At 55.4% G+C, this 17,302-nt stretch overlaps 1 protein-coding gene across 9 annotated transcripts in view, besides 6 other annotated features; it reads right to left on the reverse strand.

Moving 5' to 3' along the window:
- The window catches only part of VAV2 (vav guanine nucleotide exchange factor 2), a 230,431-nt gene that overhangs the window by 94,279 nt on the left and 118,850 nt on the right, over positions 1-17,302 (reverse strand). For all 9 annotated transcript variants that reach the window (NM_003371.4, NM_001411028.1, XM_017015109.2 and 6 more), the window contains exon 3: positions 5,202-5,260. In NM_003371.4, the coding sequence (NP_003362.2) occupies positions 5,202-5,260 (59 nt within the window). The remainder of the gene's footprint in view (positions 1-5,201; positions 5,261-17,302) is intronic.
- Positions 1,326-2,177: an enhancer, noted in NCBI's record as "H3K27ac-H3K4me1 hESC enhancer chr9:136722620-136723471 (GRCh37/hg19 assembly coordinates)". NCBI's record gives its function as "activates a minimal SCP1, AML or CMV promoter by ChIP-STARR-seq in primed H9 embryonic stem cells {active_cell/tissue: H9 hESC(primed)}" and the evidence as "EXISTENCE:reporter gene assay evidence [ECO:0000049][PMID:30033119]".
- Positions 5,608-6,431: an enhancer, noted in NCBI's record as "H3K4me1 hESC enhancer chr9:136726902-136727725 (GRCh37/hg19 assembly coordinates)". NCBI's record gives its function as "activates a minimal SCP1, AML or CMV promoter by ChIP-STARR-seq in naive H9 embryonic stem cells {active_cell/tissue: H9 hESC(naive)}" and the evidence as "EXISTENCE:reporter gene assay evidence [ECO:0000049][PMID:30033119]".
- Positions 6,432-7,254: an enhancer, noted in NCBI's record as "H3K4me1 hESC enhancer chr9:136727726-136728548 (GRCh37/hg19 assembly coordinates)". NCBI's record gives its function as "activates a minimal SCP1, AML or CMV promoter by ChIP-STARR-seq in naive H9 embryonic stem cells {active_cell/tissue: H9 hESC(naive)}" and the evidence as "EXISTENCE:reporter gene assay evidence [ECO:0000049][PMID:30033119]".
- Positions 11,249-12,072: an enhancer, noted in NCBI's record as "H3K4me1 hESC enhancer chr9:136732543-136733366 (GRCh37/hg19 assembly coordinates)". NCBI's record gives its function as "activates a minimal SCP1, AML or CMV promoter by ChIP-STARR-seq in primed H9 embryonic stem cells {active_cell/tissue: H9 hESC(primed)}" and the evidence as "EXISTENCE:reporter gene assay evidence [ECO:0000049][PMID:30033119]".
- Positions 15,778-16,278: an enhancer, noted in NCBI's record as "H3K4me1 hESC enhancer chr9:136737072-136737572 (GRCh37/hg19 assembly coordinates)". NCBI's record gives its function as "activates a minimal SCP1, AML or CMV promoter by ChIP-STARR-seq in primed H9 embryonic stem cells {active_cell/tissue: H9 hESC(primed)}" and the evidence as "EXISTENCE:reporter gene assay evidence [ECO:0000049][PMID:30033119]".
- Positions 16,279-16,779: an enhancer, noted in NCBI's record as "H3K4me1 hESC enhancer chr9:136737573-136738073 (GRCh37/hg19 assembly coordinates)". NCBI's record gives its function as "activates a minimal SCP1, AML or CMV promoter by ChIP-STARR-seq in primed H9 embryonic stem cells {active_cell/tissue: H9 hESC(primed)}" and the evidence as "EXISTENCE:reporter gene assay evidence [ECO:0000049][PMID:30033119]".

Here is a 17,302-nt window from a genome sequence, read left to right on the forward strand (position 1 = left end):
CCTGGGGTGTGAAGATGTTGTGAAAGCAGATAGAGGTGGTGGTTGCACAACATGGTGAAAGTACTAAATGCCACTGAATTGCGTACTTTACAAGGGTTACATTTATGTGATATGAATGTATTTCAATTTTTACAAGTCAGAAAGCAGAAGAGAGGGTGGCAGGGCTGGGCCAGGATGAGACAATCAAAGCCAGGAGCCCAGCCCAGTGAGGAGCCAGGGTTGAGCCCCAACCGGGTCCCCATGCTGGTATGTGCCCCCCACCGGGACCCCATGCTGGTATGTGCCCCCCACCGGGACCCCATGCTGGTATGTGCCCCCCACTGGGACCCCATGCTGATATGTGCCCAGACACGCCACATAGCTGGGCCTTCAGACAGCCTCCCAGCCAATCCAGGGGGCTCTGCTCCTGCTCTAACAGGTCACCAGAGAGTTGGAGAGTTGGTGGCTTCAAGCAACACAGACTCTTACAGTTCAGGGGGTCAGAAGTCTGAAGCGGGTCTTAGGGGCTGGCGTCAAGGTATCGAGGGGCTGGTCCCTTTCAGGAGGTGCCGGGGAGAATTTGTCCCTTACCTTTTCCAGCTTCCGAAGCTGCCTGCATTCCTGGGCCCACAGCCCCATCGCTCTAACTCTGCCGTCACATCTCCTTTTTCTGACTCTGACCTTCCTGCGTCCCTCTTAAAATTATGTGTATTTACATCTGCGAAAACCCTTTTCCTCGTCACACTCTCAGGGTTTGGGGGTTAGGACATCCACCTAGCAGCCGCGGGCCTTCCACAAGGACCAGGTGCTGCGCTGCACGATGCACAGACACAGAGCAACCCCGCGAGGCAGAGTCATGCTCCCAGCCTACAGAAGAGACAAAGGTTCCAAGAGCATCCCTGCCCAAGGTCATTTGGCTGACAGAAGCTTCCTTCATGGGACCTGACCTCCCAGCCTGAGGACACCTTTCGGTTTCCTTCTCAGGAAGTCCTACCCTTCACCATCTCCTCCCTCCCAGCCGTTCAGAGCTGTGATGACCCCAAATTAGGGCACCCCCAATCTGGAGGGCTAGCTCTGGCCACAGCAAGACCCACATCCCCACACGCCTCGCTGGGTGCCTTCCACAAACCCCTCTCCCACTCTACAACCACAATCCTCCCCCTTGCCCCGCTTCCCCAACACGTTTGATCCCCCAGCCGGCACCAGGGCGGGATTCTTAGATTAAGTCTCCAATTCATCAGCCTCTGAGAAGTATAATTGGGGCTTTTATGGAAAATCAGCTCATTATGCAAAGTGCAAGGGTTGTGAAAATGATTTTTTGAAGGAGCACGTTGGGCTCCTACCCAGCCATGAAATGAGGGAGAGATTCTTCAGGGCTGTGGGCTTGGCTTGTGGGTTTTCAAGAAGGAAAGGGTTGTGTTAAACTAGAACCTTTTGCTAATCACTAACACTACAAAACGCTCGAAATGAAATAGTGTCTTGTGAAGTGCTGGTGGCTGCCCCCAGAAGGTTCAATTCCCCATGGAAATCCCAGCCCATCCGGAGCAAGGTGGGACATTGCTCAGACGCAGCCACCAAGTGGGGCTGCCTGGGAGGGTTGCCTGTCACCTGTCTCCTGAGCTCCCGGGTGAGCGTGTGAACCAGTGGAGGTCTGCGCTCAACCCCAAGGGCTGCAGAGGGAAAGGACCCAGGAAAAGTCCCAGAGTGGGGCTCAGAGGAGGGAGGGTGGAGGAGAAGGGCAGGAAAGCCAGGCCCCGGGGAGGAGGGCCTGCAGAGGTCTTCCTGCAAAGCCTCGCTCTGCGCCCAGGAGGCCCTTCCCTTTGGCCTGCAAACACCTCCCCTTCGTCTCTCATGTCTGCCTATCCTGTGTGCAGAAAGGGGTAACTGAGCAGGCTTGGGGTGCTCAACCCCTCCACATGCCGAAGACAAGACTGGCTCTTGCTCAGCTCCTAGGAGATGACCTCTAACCTCTAAGCCCCGTAGTGTCTGCCAGATAGGCCCTCCGGATAAGAGCGTCTTTGTATACCTGAGGCGTTGGGCCACGCAGCGTATGCTCACAATGTGGTTTATGGTGGGGCTGTGGGCATGCAGGATCAGTGTGGCCTCTGCAGGCGCTGGGGATGGAGTAACTAAGGTCAGCCTCACAGGCATGCCCAACCCCACCGGCCACCAGTGAGGACCCGCACTCCAGGGCTTGGGTGGCAATGTTCTGTGGCTGTTGCCACACATGCCGACTGTCACACACCATTGCTGGGAGAACTGAGCACTATGCAGAAGGCTCTATGGGGAGGGGATAAATGGAAACCCACGCCCGATGTATCCTGGCTCCACCCCGGGGCCTTTTCCATTTGTTGATTTGACTCTAGATCTTTCTCTGCAACCATAATGGCTTCTCCTGGTGAATCTGAGAACCTGAGGATGGTCTTGGGGACCCCACACACACCCTGCTACTGTCACTGAGTGTGTTTACTGAGCCCTTCTCTGGGCCGAGCCCTGAGCCCTGGGATTTACAGGTCTCATCTCAATAAATCCGAGACGCCCCCAGTGTTTATCCTCATCTTGCAGATGTAAAAAGGGAGGCTCGGGGAGACATCTCCGGCATGAGGTCCACAGCTAAGCAGGACACAGACTTCAGAGCTGGGTCCACCGACATGCAGCCCTGGCTCGTCACACCTCCACTCGGGTCTCCTGTGGGGTGGCAGCCTTCAGGGCTGGGGTCTACAGTCCCAGTCCAGGGGGCCACTGTGCCCACATGCTGCCTGGGCAGTTCCCCGACCTGAGAGGGAAGAGGGCAGGTTTCCCTGTACATCTGCCAGCCCCAGGACCAGGGCCAGCAAGCAGGGCCAACCGACTGCTCTGCCCATCCTGGGAGGAGCGGCAGCGTGAAGCACCAGCAGCATCCTCTTGGGTTGGCTGGGTGGAGGGGCCAGAGACGTGGGGGACGGAGGGGGTGGCCCGGAGGGAGGGTGCCCACCCCGGGCCTCAAAGGGCCTCCCCATTCATCAATCAGCAGGACACACATGCAGGACAGATGCAGGGCCAGCCCTTTCCATGGTCCTCACCACCCCCGAAGCCACCAATGGGCTCCCGTTGCCACCTGTAAACCCCAAGGGAAACAGGCCCTCAGAGCTGCAGATGGGGCACCTCAGCCTCAGGAGGGCAGCGGCATCGAGAGCCTGACACGGGCACAGCTGGGACCCAGGACTGTGATCAAGGACTGTCTGCGGCAGGAGAGGGGATAGGGCTGTGGGCACCTGTGGCAGGACCACGCCAATGCCAAGCCGGGCCAATTGCCTCCCCAGGAACAGAATCAGGTCACTCGTCTGACGTGGGGTCTGCGGCACCAGGCCTCCAGTTTGGAAGAATGTCTAATGGATTTGGAGAAGAGATCAAAAGTCTAGTATTTTGTGCAGGAGCAATTAAAATGACTGATTTTTTGTTGCATGAATCTCTTTCCTGCCTAATATGTAAAAAAAACAAAACAAAACAAAACAAAAAAAAAACAGGCTGGGGAGTATAACCACGCCACTGACAGTACTGTATTGTCATGGGCTGGTGGAAAGGAGAAGGAACCATCATTTCTGGAAACAAAAACAAACAAAAAACACATAGTCTTTGTATCCAGAAATGATACTTTTAAAAACAATTAAACATGTTTTAAACGGTGCCTATTACAGACTTTGCACCAGCTGGAAAATAGCCTATGCACCTGGCGGAGGGACTGGTGGGGCCTCAGAGGCATTAGTTATCCTCTAGAAAGTACTCAGGGTGCTGGGCACCGGGGTTTTGACTGCTATTCTTTATGCCCCAAATGTGTTCTAAATATTCTTTTGTATGTGCTTAATATTTAATTTTAAGAGTCTATCCATGGCCGGGCGAGGTGGCTCACACCTGTAATCCCAGCACTTTGGGAGGCTGAGGTGGGCAGATCACCAGCTCAGGAGATCGAGACCATCCTGGCTAACATGGTGAAACCCTTTCTCTACTGAAAATACAAAAAATTAGCCGGGCGTGGTGGTGCGTGCCTGTAATCCCAGCTACTCAGGAGGCTGAGGCAGGAGAATGGTGTGAACCCGGGAGACGGAGGTTGCAGTGAGCCGAGATCGCGCCACTGCACTCCAGCCTGAGTGACAGAGTGAGACTCCAGCTCAAAAAAAAAAAAAAGTCTATCCTATATTTCACATTTTTTAAAAACCTCAATTCAAAGGAATTTCTGTGTCCTCTGAGAATCCAACAACGGAAGTCCCCGTGGGTTTAGGAACATTTACCCCTGCCCAGTGCCTCTGTGAACCTGAGCAAATGGCCCCCACCAAGGGGCAACTGCGCCACCCAAAAGCTCCAGTACCATCGTCCTGGGACCCCTCAGCCTGTAGTCATACACAGCATCCCCCACGGATCACATCAGGGTAAGGCCCCTTCCCAAAGTCAGGGCACCCTCATGATGTCACCTGTGCCCAGATGTGACCCCATCCTCGCTGCTCTCAGGCCAGGCTCTCTCTGCCATTCCAGCCTCTCCTTCTCACCCTGCTGGCCCCTGTCCTCCCAAGGGTCTCCCAGACACACGTCCCCACCCAATCAGGAACCTGGTCTCCCTGACCTCAATCTGTGGGTCAGAATCCACAGTGACCAGTTCTCATCTGGGGCTGTTCTCTCCTCTCACAGACGCCCAAGTGCCCCATCCAAGTGTCAGAAGCAGGAGGCCAGATCACAGGGGTCATGGGACCCTCTGAGGCTGAATTTTGCAGTCCAAGCAGAATAAACGGAGAGTGGAGAAATTCCTTGGCTTGGCTTGTCCAGTGCCCTGCACAGGGACCTGCAGCCCCTAAGCCAGGCAAGTCCACCATGCTCCGGCGCCATCCCTGCAAACAGACCCCAGCTACCTCATTCTCGGCACAGCCCCCGGTTCTGATGTGTGGAGAGTGCATTTAGGTAGGCAATGATCTGTGAAAGGATTAATTTGCTGATCTTATTACCTAAATCGAAAGAGATTTTGCAGCCGTCAGTAACATGCTTGCAAGATTTCCCCGGTGTGAGCTGAAGCCTCCCGCCCCCCACACCCCTTCCTGCAGCCGCCAACGGGTTACGCGACAACACGCTGCAAATGCATGATAAAGACACAGGCAGAGGGCATCTGCTTCCAACCCCAGTATCTGTGACAAGGCACGCTGGTGTCGATGGAGATGAAAGGACCCGGCCTTGGCAGCGCACTCCGGAGAGCTCACCTGATCCCTTTGTTCTGCGCGATGCTGTGCAGGGAGAGCCTCGACACCGCGGAGATGACCTGGGGGAGACAAGAAGAGACGCTCCTGTAATTTCACAAGAAACCAGAAAGGCATCACAGAACTGGGGACGCTGCTTTGCAGGACGTCGAGAACTGTTAACTGAGCACATCGCATCTGGGTAAGAAACACGGCATAGCGTTTTGTAGGCTAGACACTTGTTTTGTATTTGCTGAGCAAAACTTGTCATTTGGATGTGCTGGTATTTGCGGGGCACTGCTGCACTCCCGGCTCCTGTGGCCATGCTGCTAACAACTCCCAAGCTGCTTCTCACCCAGAAAGGGTCTGTTTTGTCAGGGGCTGCCAGAGGGCTTCACCGAGGCCACCTTTAAAGGGCTCACTCATCCCATGCTGCTGTTCTGCAAGGTACCATATTACTAAGTACAGCTCGTGTTCACAGTAGGTGCCAACACATTTCAGAGATGAGGAAATGGGAGCCCAGAGAGGTCAAGTGACCTGCCCAAAGTCACCCAGCAGCCAGGGCACCACCCACATGCAAATATCCCAGGGTGCTGCTTGCTTCCCTTCAAGCCCTCCCTTGCATGACATTTAAACAGATGCCTGGCTCCATGGAGGGCTCGGGATGCAGAAGGTCAAGAGCTCCAGGTGCACAGTGGCATGACGGGATCTCTCCTTGTCTCCCCTGGCCGGCAGACTGGTCAAGAGGAAGGTTTGGTGAGAAGCAGTAGCCGCTCCTCCTCCCTCTGCTCCCCCTAACCGGCCTGCCCCGTGATGTGGGCCTCCTCTGGATAGGCAGGACCCACCTGTCTCCTGGCATTGAAAGCCCAACACAGCCACTCCACAGATCTCCAAAGGGACAGGTGGCTAGCAGGCCGGAGACAGAGCAAGAGGCTCTGCAGATGAATACGGGGAACCCGCGGTGGGGGACAGGGAGCTGGCTGGCCCAGGGGCACAGGTTGTCACACACATGAGATGGGCGGGAAGCTGTCACAACTCACGGGGTGAATGGAGCTCCTGAGCGACAGACTCAGTCCCTGAGGAGGCAGGTGCGGCCTCGACATTGAAATCGCACCAAGTACATCTGTGAGTCCATGTGTGTGACAGCTCGCGTGTGTGGTCGTGTGTGCATGTTGCTTGTGCGTGCTACAAGTCTGTGTGCACTGCACGGCTGCGCAGCTGTATGTGCATGTGTGTACGTGTGTGTCTGGGGGTGGGCAACAAGAAAAGGCCCACGACGGCCACGTGCCGAATTCATAGACACCCTCCACTGGGTGCTGGCGTCATAGGAACGGAGCCCAGAGGGCGCTCTGTGTGCCGGACACCACACCAGGGAACCCCACGAGGCCATCCTGCGCTGCACATTTGCTAGACAGGAAAACCGAGGATCGGTCACTTGCCCAAAGCTCCCCAGCCAGATGCACTCCCCAGGCTTCCCTTCAGCCTGTTCCGCTTCCAGCAGCAATTTTCAAAAGGGGAAGAGGAAAGAAAATGAACCATAGAGACGGCGGGTTCGACCAAGGAGGCGGCGGCTGAGTGCTGCCTTCCTGTACGTGCTCGTGATTCGGGACCGGCGCTCAGGGAAGCTGGGGTCATGGAAGGACAGGGTCCTTCTGTGCTTCCTCACACAAGACTCGATGGGCCCATTATGCGGCCAGCCCAGCCGCACTCCCATGCTGATGCTACAAGGGGCCTTTCACAAGTAATGAGGAACTTGGCTCTGGAGTGTTTTTGGCTTTTAAGAGCTCTAAGCATTTAGGGAAAACAAAAATGAAAGCAATATTGCTGTACGTCCTTACAGTTATTTGGAAGAATGTTAGATCCCAAAGGGTTTGGCAACTACAGGGCACCCAAGCCCCCTCTCACACACCTCCTGCGGCAGACGTGGCTGATCAATCCCTCCGAGGAGCCGGGCGCAGGCCCAGAGCCCTCCTCCGTGGAGTCTAAGGAGGCACCAGCATTCGGTCAGCGCTGACACACAAGAACCTGTTTGTCAACCTGGAGTCAGCGCAAAGGCCCCAGGTCGGGTCGTACAGATGGAACCGGGTCGTACAGATGGAACCGGAGACAGAGAGGAGGCGTGGCGGGCGAGCCAGCCAAGGCCAGAACATGGTTCTCCTGCGTCCATGCATCTGTGGCCCCTGTGGACAATTTCTACAGCTGCTATGACCACAGCAGCCTCAGCCCCAAGCTTGGGGCGCTTTGCCCCAGGATGAACGTGTCACGAGCAGCTGATGAAGGGCTCTGGAGGGCCTGCAGCATCGATGGGGCAGCCCCTTCCATGGGTTCAGCATGGCCAGCTATGCTGGAGGAGCCCTGGCCCTCCATCGGCCTGAATTTCAGGCTTCCTAGCTGGCACTGGGGATGGGGGGAAGCTCAGAAGTCCACCACGGGGAACCACACTCCAGTGACCCAAAACCCAGGGCAGGGGCTGCTGGAGCAGACACCGGACCCCTGAGATAGCCATGGGGTCAGATGGGGCAAAGCCGGCCCCATGTGAAACCCACTGGCCTGAAAGGTTAGGAGCAGAAGTACCTCCCTGCAGGAGGAGGGATGCCCTACAGTAGCTCCCCAGGGCACCTCTGGCTGTGCCCACCCCACTCCCAGGACAGACAGAGAGCTGGGTGTCCCCAGGGGCCCGGCTCTCAGGCAATGATCAAACACCTCTTAGCCCACAGCCCCAGCCGACTCTTCCGATATCGCAAATGTCAAAGGATGACATTTTCCCTACTTTTATTACCTCGTCTGTTCCGAGTCCCAGTTAACAAACGAATGAAGACGCACAGCTGCATTTCCCTTCCTGCCTCCCTCCCTCTCCCGCAGACAGCCGCGGGGCAGGAGGAAAGGAATGTGTGTGTGCTGGGGACGAGGAACAGGGAGGAAAGACAAGAGGAATGATGTGCCACTCAAAACGACCAGGCATGCTGGGGAGCCCACCTGCACCGCCAGCTCCCAAAGCTTCAGGCCTCTGTGCCATTCACCAACGTCCAGGCCTCACCAGGCCACGCTTGGTGAGACTCACTGAGGAACGAGGTGGGGACTGGAGAGCTCAGAGGACAGGCTGTGGTGGTTGAGTCTGGATCCTGGATGGCAGCCCTGGCTCCATCCCCACCCAACCATGGCCTGCTCTGACCTCAGGTTCCAAGACACCGGCAGCCCGTCAGCCTCCACACAGCCACAGCACAACCTTTTAAAGGCGGCACTTTAAAAGACAGACCCTAGGTCCTACCCCCGCCACCCCACAGGCTCTGGGGCCTGGGAATCTGCATTTATAGTTCAGGGCCCATGTGGCTGGATATGCAGCCCGCTGGGGCCCTCTGTCCCCTAAGGACTGGCCAGACGGGTAACGCCACAGACTGGGTCAAAGCCTGCGGGAAGCCAGGAGCACGTCCCAATTGTCCACTTGTGGACTCCTCGCAGAGCCAGGGTCCCTGAAGCCCCTCCACAATGGACAGGGAAGCAGAGGGTTCAGGAAGGACACAGGAAAGGGCATGCGGTCTGTGAGCTCCTCCGGGGTAGGAACAAAGTTGGCTTTGCTGAATGATTTATCTCCAATGTCTTCAGGTTGTAGGCCCATCAGCTGTAACTCCACCTGAGAAACCTTTAGATCACAGTGACTGTAAATGCAAAGCTCTATGCTGCAGGTTCAGCAGAGGATAGGAAGCCTCAGTGCTCCCAGAGCCCAGGCACCGAAAACTCCACGTGATGGGTCCTTCCGCAAAAACACTTCGGCATTTTTACTTTACTGCACCAAGTTTCCAAACTGAGGACAGAGGTGCTGTGCTCACAGTATTTGCAACTTAAACATCCACAATCAAAACTCAAGACAGGGCCAGGAAGAAAAAGGAAACGTAGACTGCGGATTCACTGTAGGACAATCACCCAATCTTGCATGGCCTTCTGGAAAGAACCCAGATGTCTAGCTATTCACATGTGACCTCATCCCAGTCTCCACTGCCCCTTCTGCACTTTCCCTCTGCATCTTCTGCCTCACTTCTTTTTCACACCTCCTGTAACTTCATTCCTCTGTGCTGTATTCTTAGTGACTTCCTCGGTTCTGTCTTCTGATTCATTAATTCTCCCTTCGGCTCCACCTAGACTACTGTTTAAGACACATACTGAGTTTTTCATTTCAACAATCTCAATTTTCATTTTGAGAATTTCTATTTAGTTCTTTTCTCAAATTCCATCTGTTCTTTTTGTCTTGCTTGTTTGCTCATCATTTTCTCTTCTTTTCTTTTGCATTCTGTTCCTTTTTTCCGAGAATAGAAATTCTCTCTCATCGACTGCATCTGCTAGCCCCCTCCCACATGCTGATTTGTTTCTTTTTGAGCACCAGCTGGCTAGTCTGGTAAACATACATATATTCACAGATTATATGTATTGTGTATAAACACACGTATATATTGTTCTATGCTGTAAGTGCATCCTCAGTGGGAATTGTTTTCCATGGGTGGAGGGAGCCCCCAGGCTCTGAGAGACATAACTATGAGGGCTCTCCTGGTTTCCCCTGGCTTTCAGGCCCCACTCCATGCCTGGTGCCAAAGCAGGGTGTATCCTGCCAGAGACTGTTTCCCTGCCCAGCCTGGGATGGTCAGCTGCTTCTGTGTGCCAGGGTACAGCTCTCTGGTCCCCATTCCATGGCTCTCTCAGCCTTCCTGGCTCAGCTCTCTGCACTGCCTCCATTCCATCTCCCTCACCTCCACCATGATGCAACCCCCGCTGTTAGGGCCCAAGCCCTAGGGTGGGCCTGGTTCCAGGCCCCCCAGGGGGTGGGTGGGGAGCCAAGCTGGCCTGGCTCCTCTTTCTGTCTTTGACATCCCTCTTGGTTTCTGACAATTGAGGATTTCCCTTTCTAGTTCTAAGCCTAGTAATCATGTTTTAGTTTGCATTATTTCATTTAAAGAGGGATTCTACGTGTTGGGGGGAGGGGAGGAGCCCACGCTCACTGGACCACTGTGTTTTGTAGAAATCCCTACGCCTTCTGCAGAGCAGGAACTCACAAGAACCTCCAAGCAAAACAGCCGTCAAATCACCATGAGCCTGCAGCCCATCGGTGGGAGTGAGGACACGCCTACTCAACATCAGTCAGTGTGGGGGCAACTGCGCTGCGATGATTTTAAAGAGGAGCCTGGCCAGGCGCGGTGGCTCACGCCTGTAATCCCAGCACTTTGGGAGACCAAGGTGGGCAGATCACTCGAGGTCAGGAGTTTGAGACCAGCCTGGCCAACATGGTGAAACCCCATCTCTATTAGGAATACAAAAAAATTAGCCGGGCGTGGTGGCACATGCCTGTAGTTCCAGCTACCTGGGAGGCTGAGGCAGGAGAATGGCTTGAACCCAGGACGTGGAGGTTCCAGTGGGCCGAGATTGCACCACTGCACTCCAACCTGGGCAACAGAGCAAGACTCCGTCTCAAAAAAAAAAAAAAAAAGAGGAGCCTGCCAATTTTGCCATTATGATGACAGATGATGGGGTGGTGTCTGTTTAGCACATGTCACAGGGTGGCAGCGTGGGGCAGTGACATGGAAGCGGGAACTCCGGGCCGCACAAGTTCAGGTTCGAATGTCAGCCTCCCCCTCGGAGCTGGGGCAAACTCTCAGCCTCCCTGAGCCTGTTTCCTCAACAGTAAAACACGGTCCTAACAGAGGTCTCGTCACAAGGCTGCTGGGGCCTGCAGGAGGACACGCCCCTGCAGGGGACACAACACCGCCCGTGAGTGCCGAGTGAGGACACGGCCATGGGTCTGCTGAGGGTCCCGGCGCTCCCTGCAGAGCCGGGGCAGGCGTCTGTCCACATAGGGTCCTCAGAGCAGGTCTGCAGCTGGGCAGGCCAAGGCCAGCATCAAGGCTCAACACCCAGTGCCCACCAGGCCTCCCTCCAGGAAGCCCATCTCGCCAGGTGGTGCGTGCGCAACTCTAGCTTTCTCTTTCTGGCGCCTTGGAGAGATGGAAGCCAAAAAAGTGACCCAATCACCCTGCACTTGAGCCAGTGAAGCCACTGAGTGCCCCCATGGTGGGGCCGCCTGGGGCCCTAGGGAAGGGTGCCACGTGCTCTGAAAAGGCTCACAAGTCCCCGGCACCCTGCAGGCCCCTCTCTGACCCTCGTCAAGCCTCCAGGAGTACTGGCTTTGCTTAGAGCCTCTGGAGGGAATCTCCCTTTCCAGGACCCCCTGGCAGGGCCAGCCACACCCTCCTGGCCACCACCTACAGACCCCAATGCACCAGGTGAAGACAAGAGTAGCAGCAGCCAATGGCTTTCAGTGCCCCGCAAGCCCTGTGCAGTGCTAGACCTGAGATGTCCCACCCAGCTCTCGCCACCTGGAGCTGGAAAGGACATGCACCTTCTCCCAGGAGGAGCAAGGCTCTGTCGCATCCAGCGACCCATCCATGGTCCTCTAGCTGGACGACTGAGGATGCTAACAACTGCCAGGAGAAATGGTCCAGTGTGGGGCGGTCCACCTGGCGCCGGCTCAGCTGAGTGCTGGGCTCACAGCAGCCTCCAGCATCGTTTCCTGAACCAATGGAAATGAGCCACTCCTCCCACACCGCCTACAGGAATTGCTCAGACAGGGATCTGAGGTCTCGGGAAGAGTCCCGGCTGTTCTCCACCCAAGGCCCCAAGTGCACCTCGGACAGACAGACCAGGAGACTTGGAGTGAGAGAGCCACTGGCTTCTCCAATGATTGTTAACTGTCTTGTTCCATGTTTAAAAGTCCCCTTCATCTTGAGGAAACTTCCCAAGGTGGCCACAGGAATCCTCGCTGCCCTCCATGCTTCTCGATCTGAAGTAACGGTTGGGTCCTGACTCAACCCAACTGCTGTGAGCTACCCGGGGCTCGGGTCTGTGTGGCAACACGAGGGGCAACCTGCCCACAGCACAGCAGGCACCGCATCCCCATGAGGTGGGGCGCGGTGGGGAGAAGGAAGAGAAATGAGTCTTCTGGTTCTGGCCAGGAGATGCTCTGCGAATGGGGAAGAGCCCAGACTGCCCTGGGTTCAAATCCGCCCTTCCCGGGCACCGTGCTGAGGCTCCCTGAGGCTCGGTTGGCTCATCTGTGAGATGGGGATAACAGTGTCTACCCGTGTGGCTGTAGGTGAATGAGACGGAGCCTGGCCCAAAGCAGGGACTCGCGCACAGCTTGCGGAAAGGGGACTGTGCCCGATCAGAAGGTCCACGGAGGGACTCATGGCTGCACTCCATCCTCCACTTGCTCGAATGAAGAAACAAAAACAGAGCAAAGTACTAGGCTCAGGGCCAGAAGCGTGCATGTTTGTTATGACTTTAGAAGACACTCAGAACCCCTGAAGGGTCCCGCCATCTCCTGGGAATGCCGCTCTGGCCCGTCCTATCCCTGCAGCCCCACAGCTTCCCCTGCTACTTGGGATGTGAACCTGAGCACGTGGTTCCTCCAGCCAAACCTCAGTCAAGACACTCAAGCCAGGCAATAGTGACCCAGAACAATGACCCAGGTGGATGCAGGTGTGCCTTACAAAGGGAAATCAAGCTGGGTGCAGTGGCTCATGCCTGTAATCCCAGCTACAGCCTCACTTGAGATGAGGAGTTCGAGACCAGCCTCGGCAATATGGTGAGTCCCCATCTATTTATTCTTTTTTTTTTTTTTTGAGACAGAGTTTCATTCTTGTCACCCAGGCTGGAGTGCAGTGGCACCATCTCCGCCCGCTGCAACCTCTGCCTCCCGGGCTCAAGCGATTCTCCCGCCTCAGCCGCCTGAGTAGCTGGGGATTACAGGCAAGTGTTACCACACCTGGCTAATCTTGTATTTTTAGTAGAGATGGGGTTTCAGCATGTTGGCCAGGCTAGTCTAACCTCAGGTGATCCGCCCACCTCGGCCTCCCAAAGTGCCGGGATTACAGGCAGGAGCCACCACACCCAGTCCCATCTCTTAAACAACGACAACAACAAAGTCTTTAAGGCCAGGTGCAGTGGCTCACACATGCAATCTCAGCACTCTGGGAGGCTGAGACGGGAGGATTGCTGGAAGCCAGGAGTCTGAGGCCAGCCTGAGCAATACAACAAAACTCTATCTCTACAAAAAATAAAAAAAAAAAATAACCAGATGTGGTGGCATGCACCTGTGGTCCTGGCTACTCGGGAGGCTGAGGTGGGAGGATCACTTAAGCCCAGGAGGTCGAAGCTGCAGTGAGCTAGAATCATGCCACTGCACTCCAGCCTGGGCGACACAGTGAAACCCTATCTCAAAAATAAGTAAAAATTAAAAAGAAATTGGAGCCCTGAGCCACACTGGCGACCATGTGATGAGCCATCCGCCGACCCAGCCTGCTCTCAGAGGCTCTGCCGATCAGAAGAGCTTTCTGGCCCCGACCCTCCGACTGTCATTAGCAATCAGTAAGCAGGAACTGCACAGACCTGGCCCCAGCCGCAGACCTTCCTTATCAGCCATTACCACACATCTGGAAACACACACGCACACGCAGCCCAACGGAGCCAAATGGCAAGATTATCAAACTCATTTGAATATGTTGCCCCGGAAACTCACCTATCTGCCTTGGAAATCTACAGCTACTATTGCTGCATATTCAGAAGCAAATCATTATAAATTACTTTCTCTAACTCAGCCTGTGTTATCCTTCATTTTTTTTTCTTTTTTCTTGTGGAAAGCACGGACAGAAAAATTTGGGGTACTTGCCTTCAGAATGACAAGCGACCATCGAGTAGTGATAATTACAAAACATGTGCAATCACAGCTTCACATTCAGGTTTTGCCACCAGGAGGAGGCTGGAAAAACAAAAGCGAGCAGGAAAGGCACTTCTCAGCCAGTGCATTGGGCAATGGCAGGGCTGTGGGGCCCAACATCAATATCAGAAGTTTCTTCTAGGGGGCCGGCAGAGTGCAGGAAGAGAGGTGGGAGCCGCCCCCAGGCCCCAAGACAGCTGAGCGGCAAAATGAAAAATGCCACTCACTCGAGCCAGGCAACTAGCAGCGACTCTGAAGGGGAATGCATGAAAGGAGGGTCTGGTTGTCCTTACAAAGAAGATCAGGGCTCGAAAGTCATTTAGAAGGAAAGAAAAAGGTGAGAGCAACTTCTCTGTAAATGAACAGCTCAGAATTGGCCCACTCTTCCTGGAGCTTTCAACAGGATGTAAAAATGATACCCAAATATATACTTCCTCATCTCAGTGGGTCTGGATCAACACCTTCAAATGCAGGAGTCTGAGAGACCACCTGAGCCTTGGGGACCAGCAGCCCGAATCTTTGTGTCTTACACTCTGTGGGTGCTCCTTGTCTATGACATAGATGGATAAGTCGGTGGGTGGGTGGATGGATAAGTGGGTGGGTGGGTGAACAGACGGATGGATCAGCAGATGAGTGGACAGGTGGGTGGATGGACAGATGGATGGATAAGTGGGTATGTGGGTGGATAAGTGGGTGGGTGGGTGGATGGATGGATAGATTGATGAGTGGATGGGATGGGCAGATGGATGGATAAGTGGGTAGGTGGGTGGGTGGATGGATATGGGTGAGTGCGTGGGTGGGTGGGTGGATGGATGGATGGATGAGTGGATGGATGGGCAGATGGGTAGACGGGTGGGTGGGTGGGTAGATGGATGGATGGATGGATGGATAAGTGGGTGGGTGGGTGAACAGATGGATGGATGGATGGGCAGACAGGTGGATAGATGAGTGGGTGGGTGAATGGGTGGATAAATGCGTGGGTGGGTGGATGGATGGATGGATAAGTGGGTGGGTGAACAGATGGATGGATGGATGGGCAGATGGATGGGTGGGCAGATGGATGGATAGATGAGTGGGTGGATGAATGGATGGCTGGCTGGATGGATAAGTGGGTACGTAGGTGGGTGGGCAGATGGATGGATGGATGGACAGATGGATAGATAAGTGAGTGGGTGGGTGGATGGATAAGTGGGTGGGTGGATGGATGAATTGGGGGTGGATGGATGAATGGAGGGGCGGATGGACAGATGGTAAATGGGTGGGTGGATGGATGGATGGATGAATAGATGGACGGACGGATGGATGGATGGATGGACAGATGGATGGATTGATTGATGGATGGATGGATGGATGGAGAAGCGGATGGATGGATGGATGGATGGATGGATGGATGGATGGATGGATGGATGGTGGGTAGATGGATGCCGACTCAGAGAGATCCCTTTGCCCCAGTCCCTTCTGATGAAGTAAGGAGAGAAGAGAGAGAAGATGAGCCCCTGACGGCAGCCTCATACCTATCTCCCTGAGTCCCTAATACACCCTTGACAATTTCTGTACAAATGTCCTCCCTAATGGTGGGGGGTCCCAACCACCCACCATGGAGGCACCACTGACCCTATTTTGCCACTGAGAAAACCCAAGTTCAGAGAGGTAACATGACTCGACCAAGGTCTCATTGCTGTGGGAGGCTGAAGCCTGGGTCTGACTCAGAGCCCAGCTCCTAACAGTAAGGTACCTGAGAGCCACCACCTGCCCAGGGGTGGGGGCCAGCCCTGCCCCTTCTGAGCCCCCAGCAGGTGGTTCAGGGACACAGCCTCCAGCTAGACCCTGGCTCCATGGGGTCATCGCTCCACCCTTCCTCTGAGTGTCTGCCCCACTGGGAATGAAATGTTGGGATTCTAGTCTGGAAGGTTCTCCCAGCTGGAATCACATCCAGGACTCTCAGGCACTGGCACAGAGGGCAGACCTGAAAATCCTTGTGAGCTCCTCAAGGGGGTGGCTGAGAAGCCCCCAGAGATGGCATAGCTGTGAACGGGACACTGGCCAGGGCCAGGGATGTGGGGAGACTGATCGTATGTGAACCAGGGCGTCAGTGACCTGGCCGACCCCAAGAGGGAAGAGAAGAAAGGGGCAGGGGCAGGGGCCAGCCCCAAAGAAAACTGCAAGCCCTGGCTTCCTCCCTGCATGCTCGGCTCCCAGCACCCACGTCCTCCATGTTTCCATGGCTGTGCTGGGTGGGTGACTGCGAGTCTAACTTCCCCCTCTTCTCTGCCATGGTGTGGCCAGGCTAGAGGAAAAGGGCTGATGGCGTCCTCACTCCGCGCACCGTCTTTTCCCCACTGCAGTCAGCTACACTGGCCCAGCTGCCCCAACCAGCATGTGGGGGCACAGCCTCTCCTCGGCTTGAAGGGTCGGGGTCCTAGGCCCAGTTCCCGACACCTCCAGAGGAAACCCAAAGCCTGGAGCAGAGGCAGGAAGGCTGGCAGGGAAGCCCCGGGGGTCAGAGTCGCTTTGTGCACCTTGGGACCCGGGGAGAGAAGAGGCTGGAAGGGAGAAGTGGGCCCAGGTGGCCTCCTGGAGCACAGGAGGAGGCGTAAGCTGGTGGAGTATCCGGGGCAGCACGTCCTCTCCAGGCGGCCACTCCAACCATGGGGCTCTGGGAGCTTCTTGACTAAGACAGAGTCTACCGCTCAAGAAGCGGGGCAGATGGGTGGACAGAAAAGCACACAAGGGGGTGGCTCACGCCTGTAATCCTAGCACTCTGGGAGGCAGAGGCAGGCAGATCACTTGAAGCTAGAAGTTCTAGACCAGCCTGGGCAACGTGGTGAAACCCCATCTCTACTAAAAATACAAAAATTAGCCAGGTGTGGTGGTGTGCACCTGTAATCTCAGCTACTTGGGAGGCTGGGGCAGAAGAATTGCTTGAACCCAGGAGGCGGAGGTTGCAGTGAGCCAAGCTTGAGCCACTGCACTCCAGCCTGGGCGACAGAGGGAGGGGGCGGGGGGGTGGGGGAGGGAGGAAGGAAGACAGGAAAACACACAACAGCAACTGGGCTCACATGTTAGCTGAGTGCCTGCTCTGTGCTGGGCATGTGAGGGAAGCTGCAATTTAATCTGAGATCCTGAGCAAAACAGTACAGAGGCTCAGACCAGGACATTACGCCAGAGCTGGGATCAAGTCCTAAGCCTGCCACGGACGATCTCAGCCACTCCTCTCTGGGCCTCGGTTTCCCTGTGTGTGGAATAAGGAAACCGCAAGACATACAGATGGCAAAGGGCGTCCTGCCACACTCCCAGTCCCACTGTGCTCACGGTGGAGTCACTAGCTGGTCACCATGCCCCTGCTGAAGACACTGGCCTCTGCAGC

This window comes from Homo sapiens, chromosome 9, assembly GCF_000001405.40.
Source record: "Homo sapiens chromosome 9, GRCh38.p14 Primary Assembly".
NCBI lineage: Eukaryota > Metazoa > Chordata > Mammalia > Primates > Hominidae > Homo > Homo sapiens.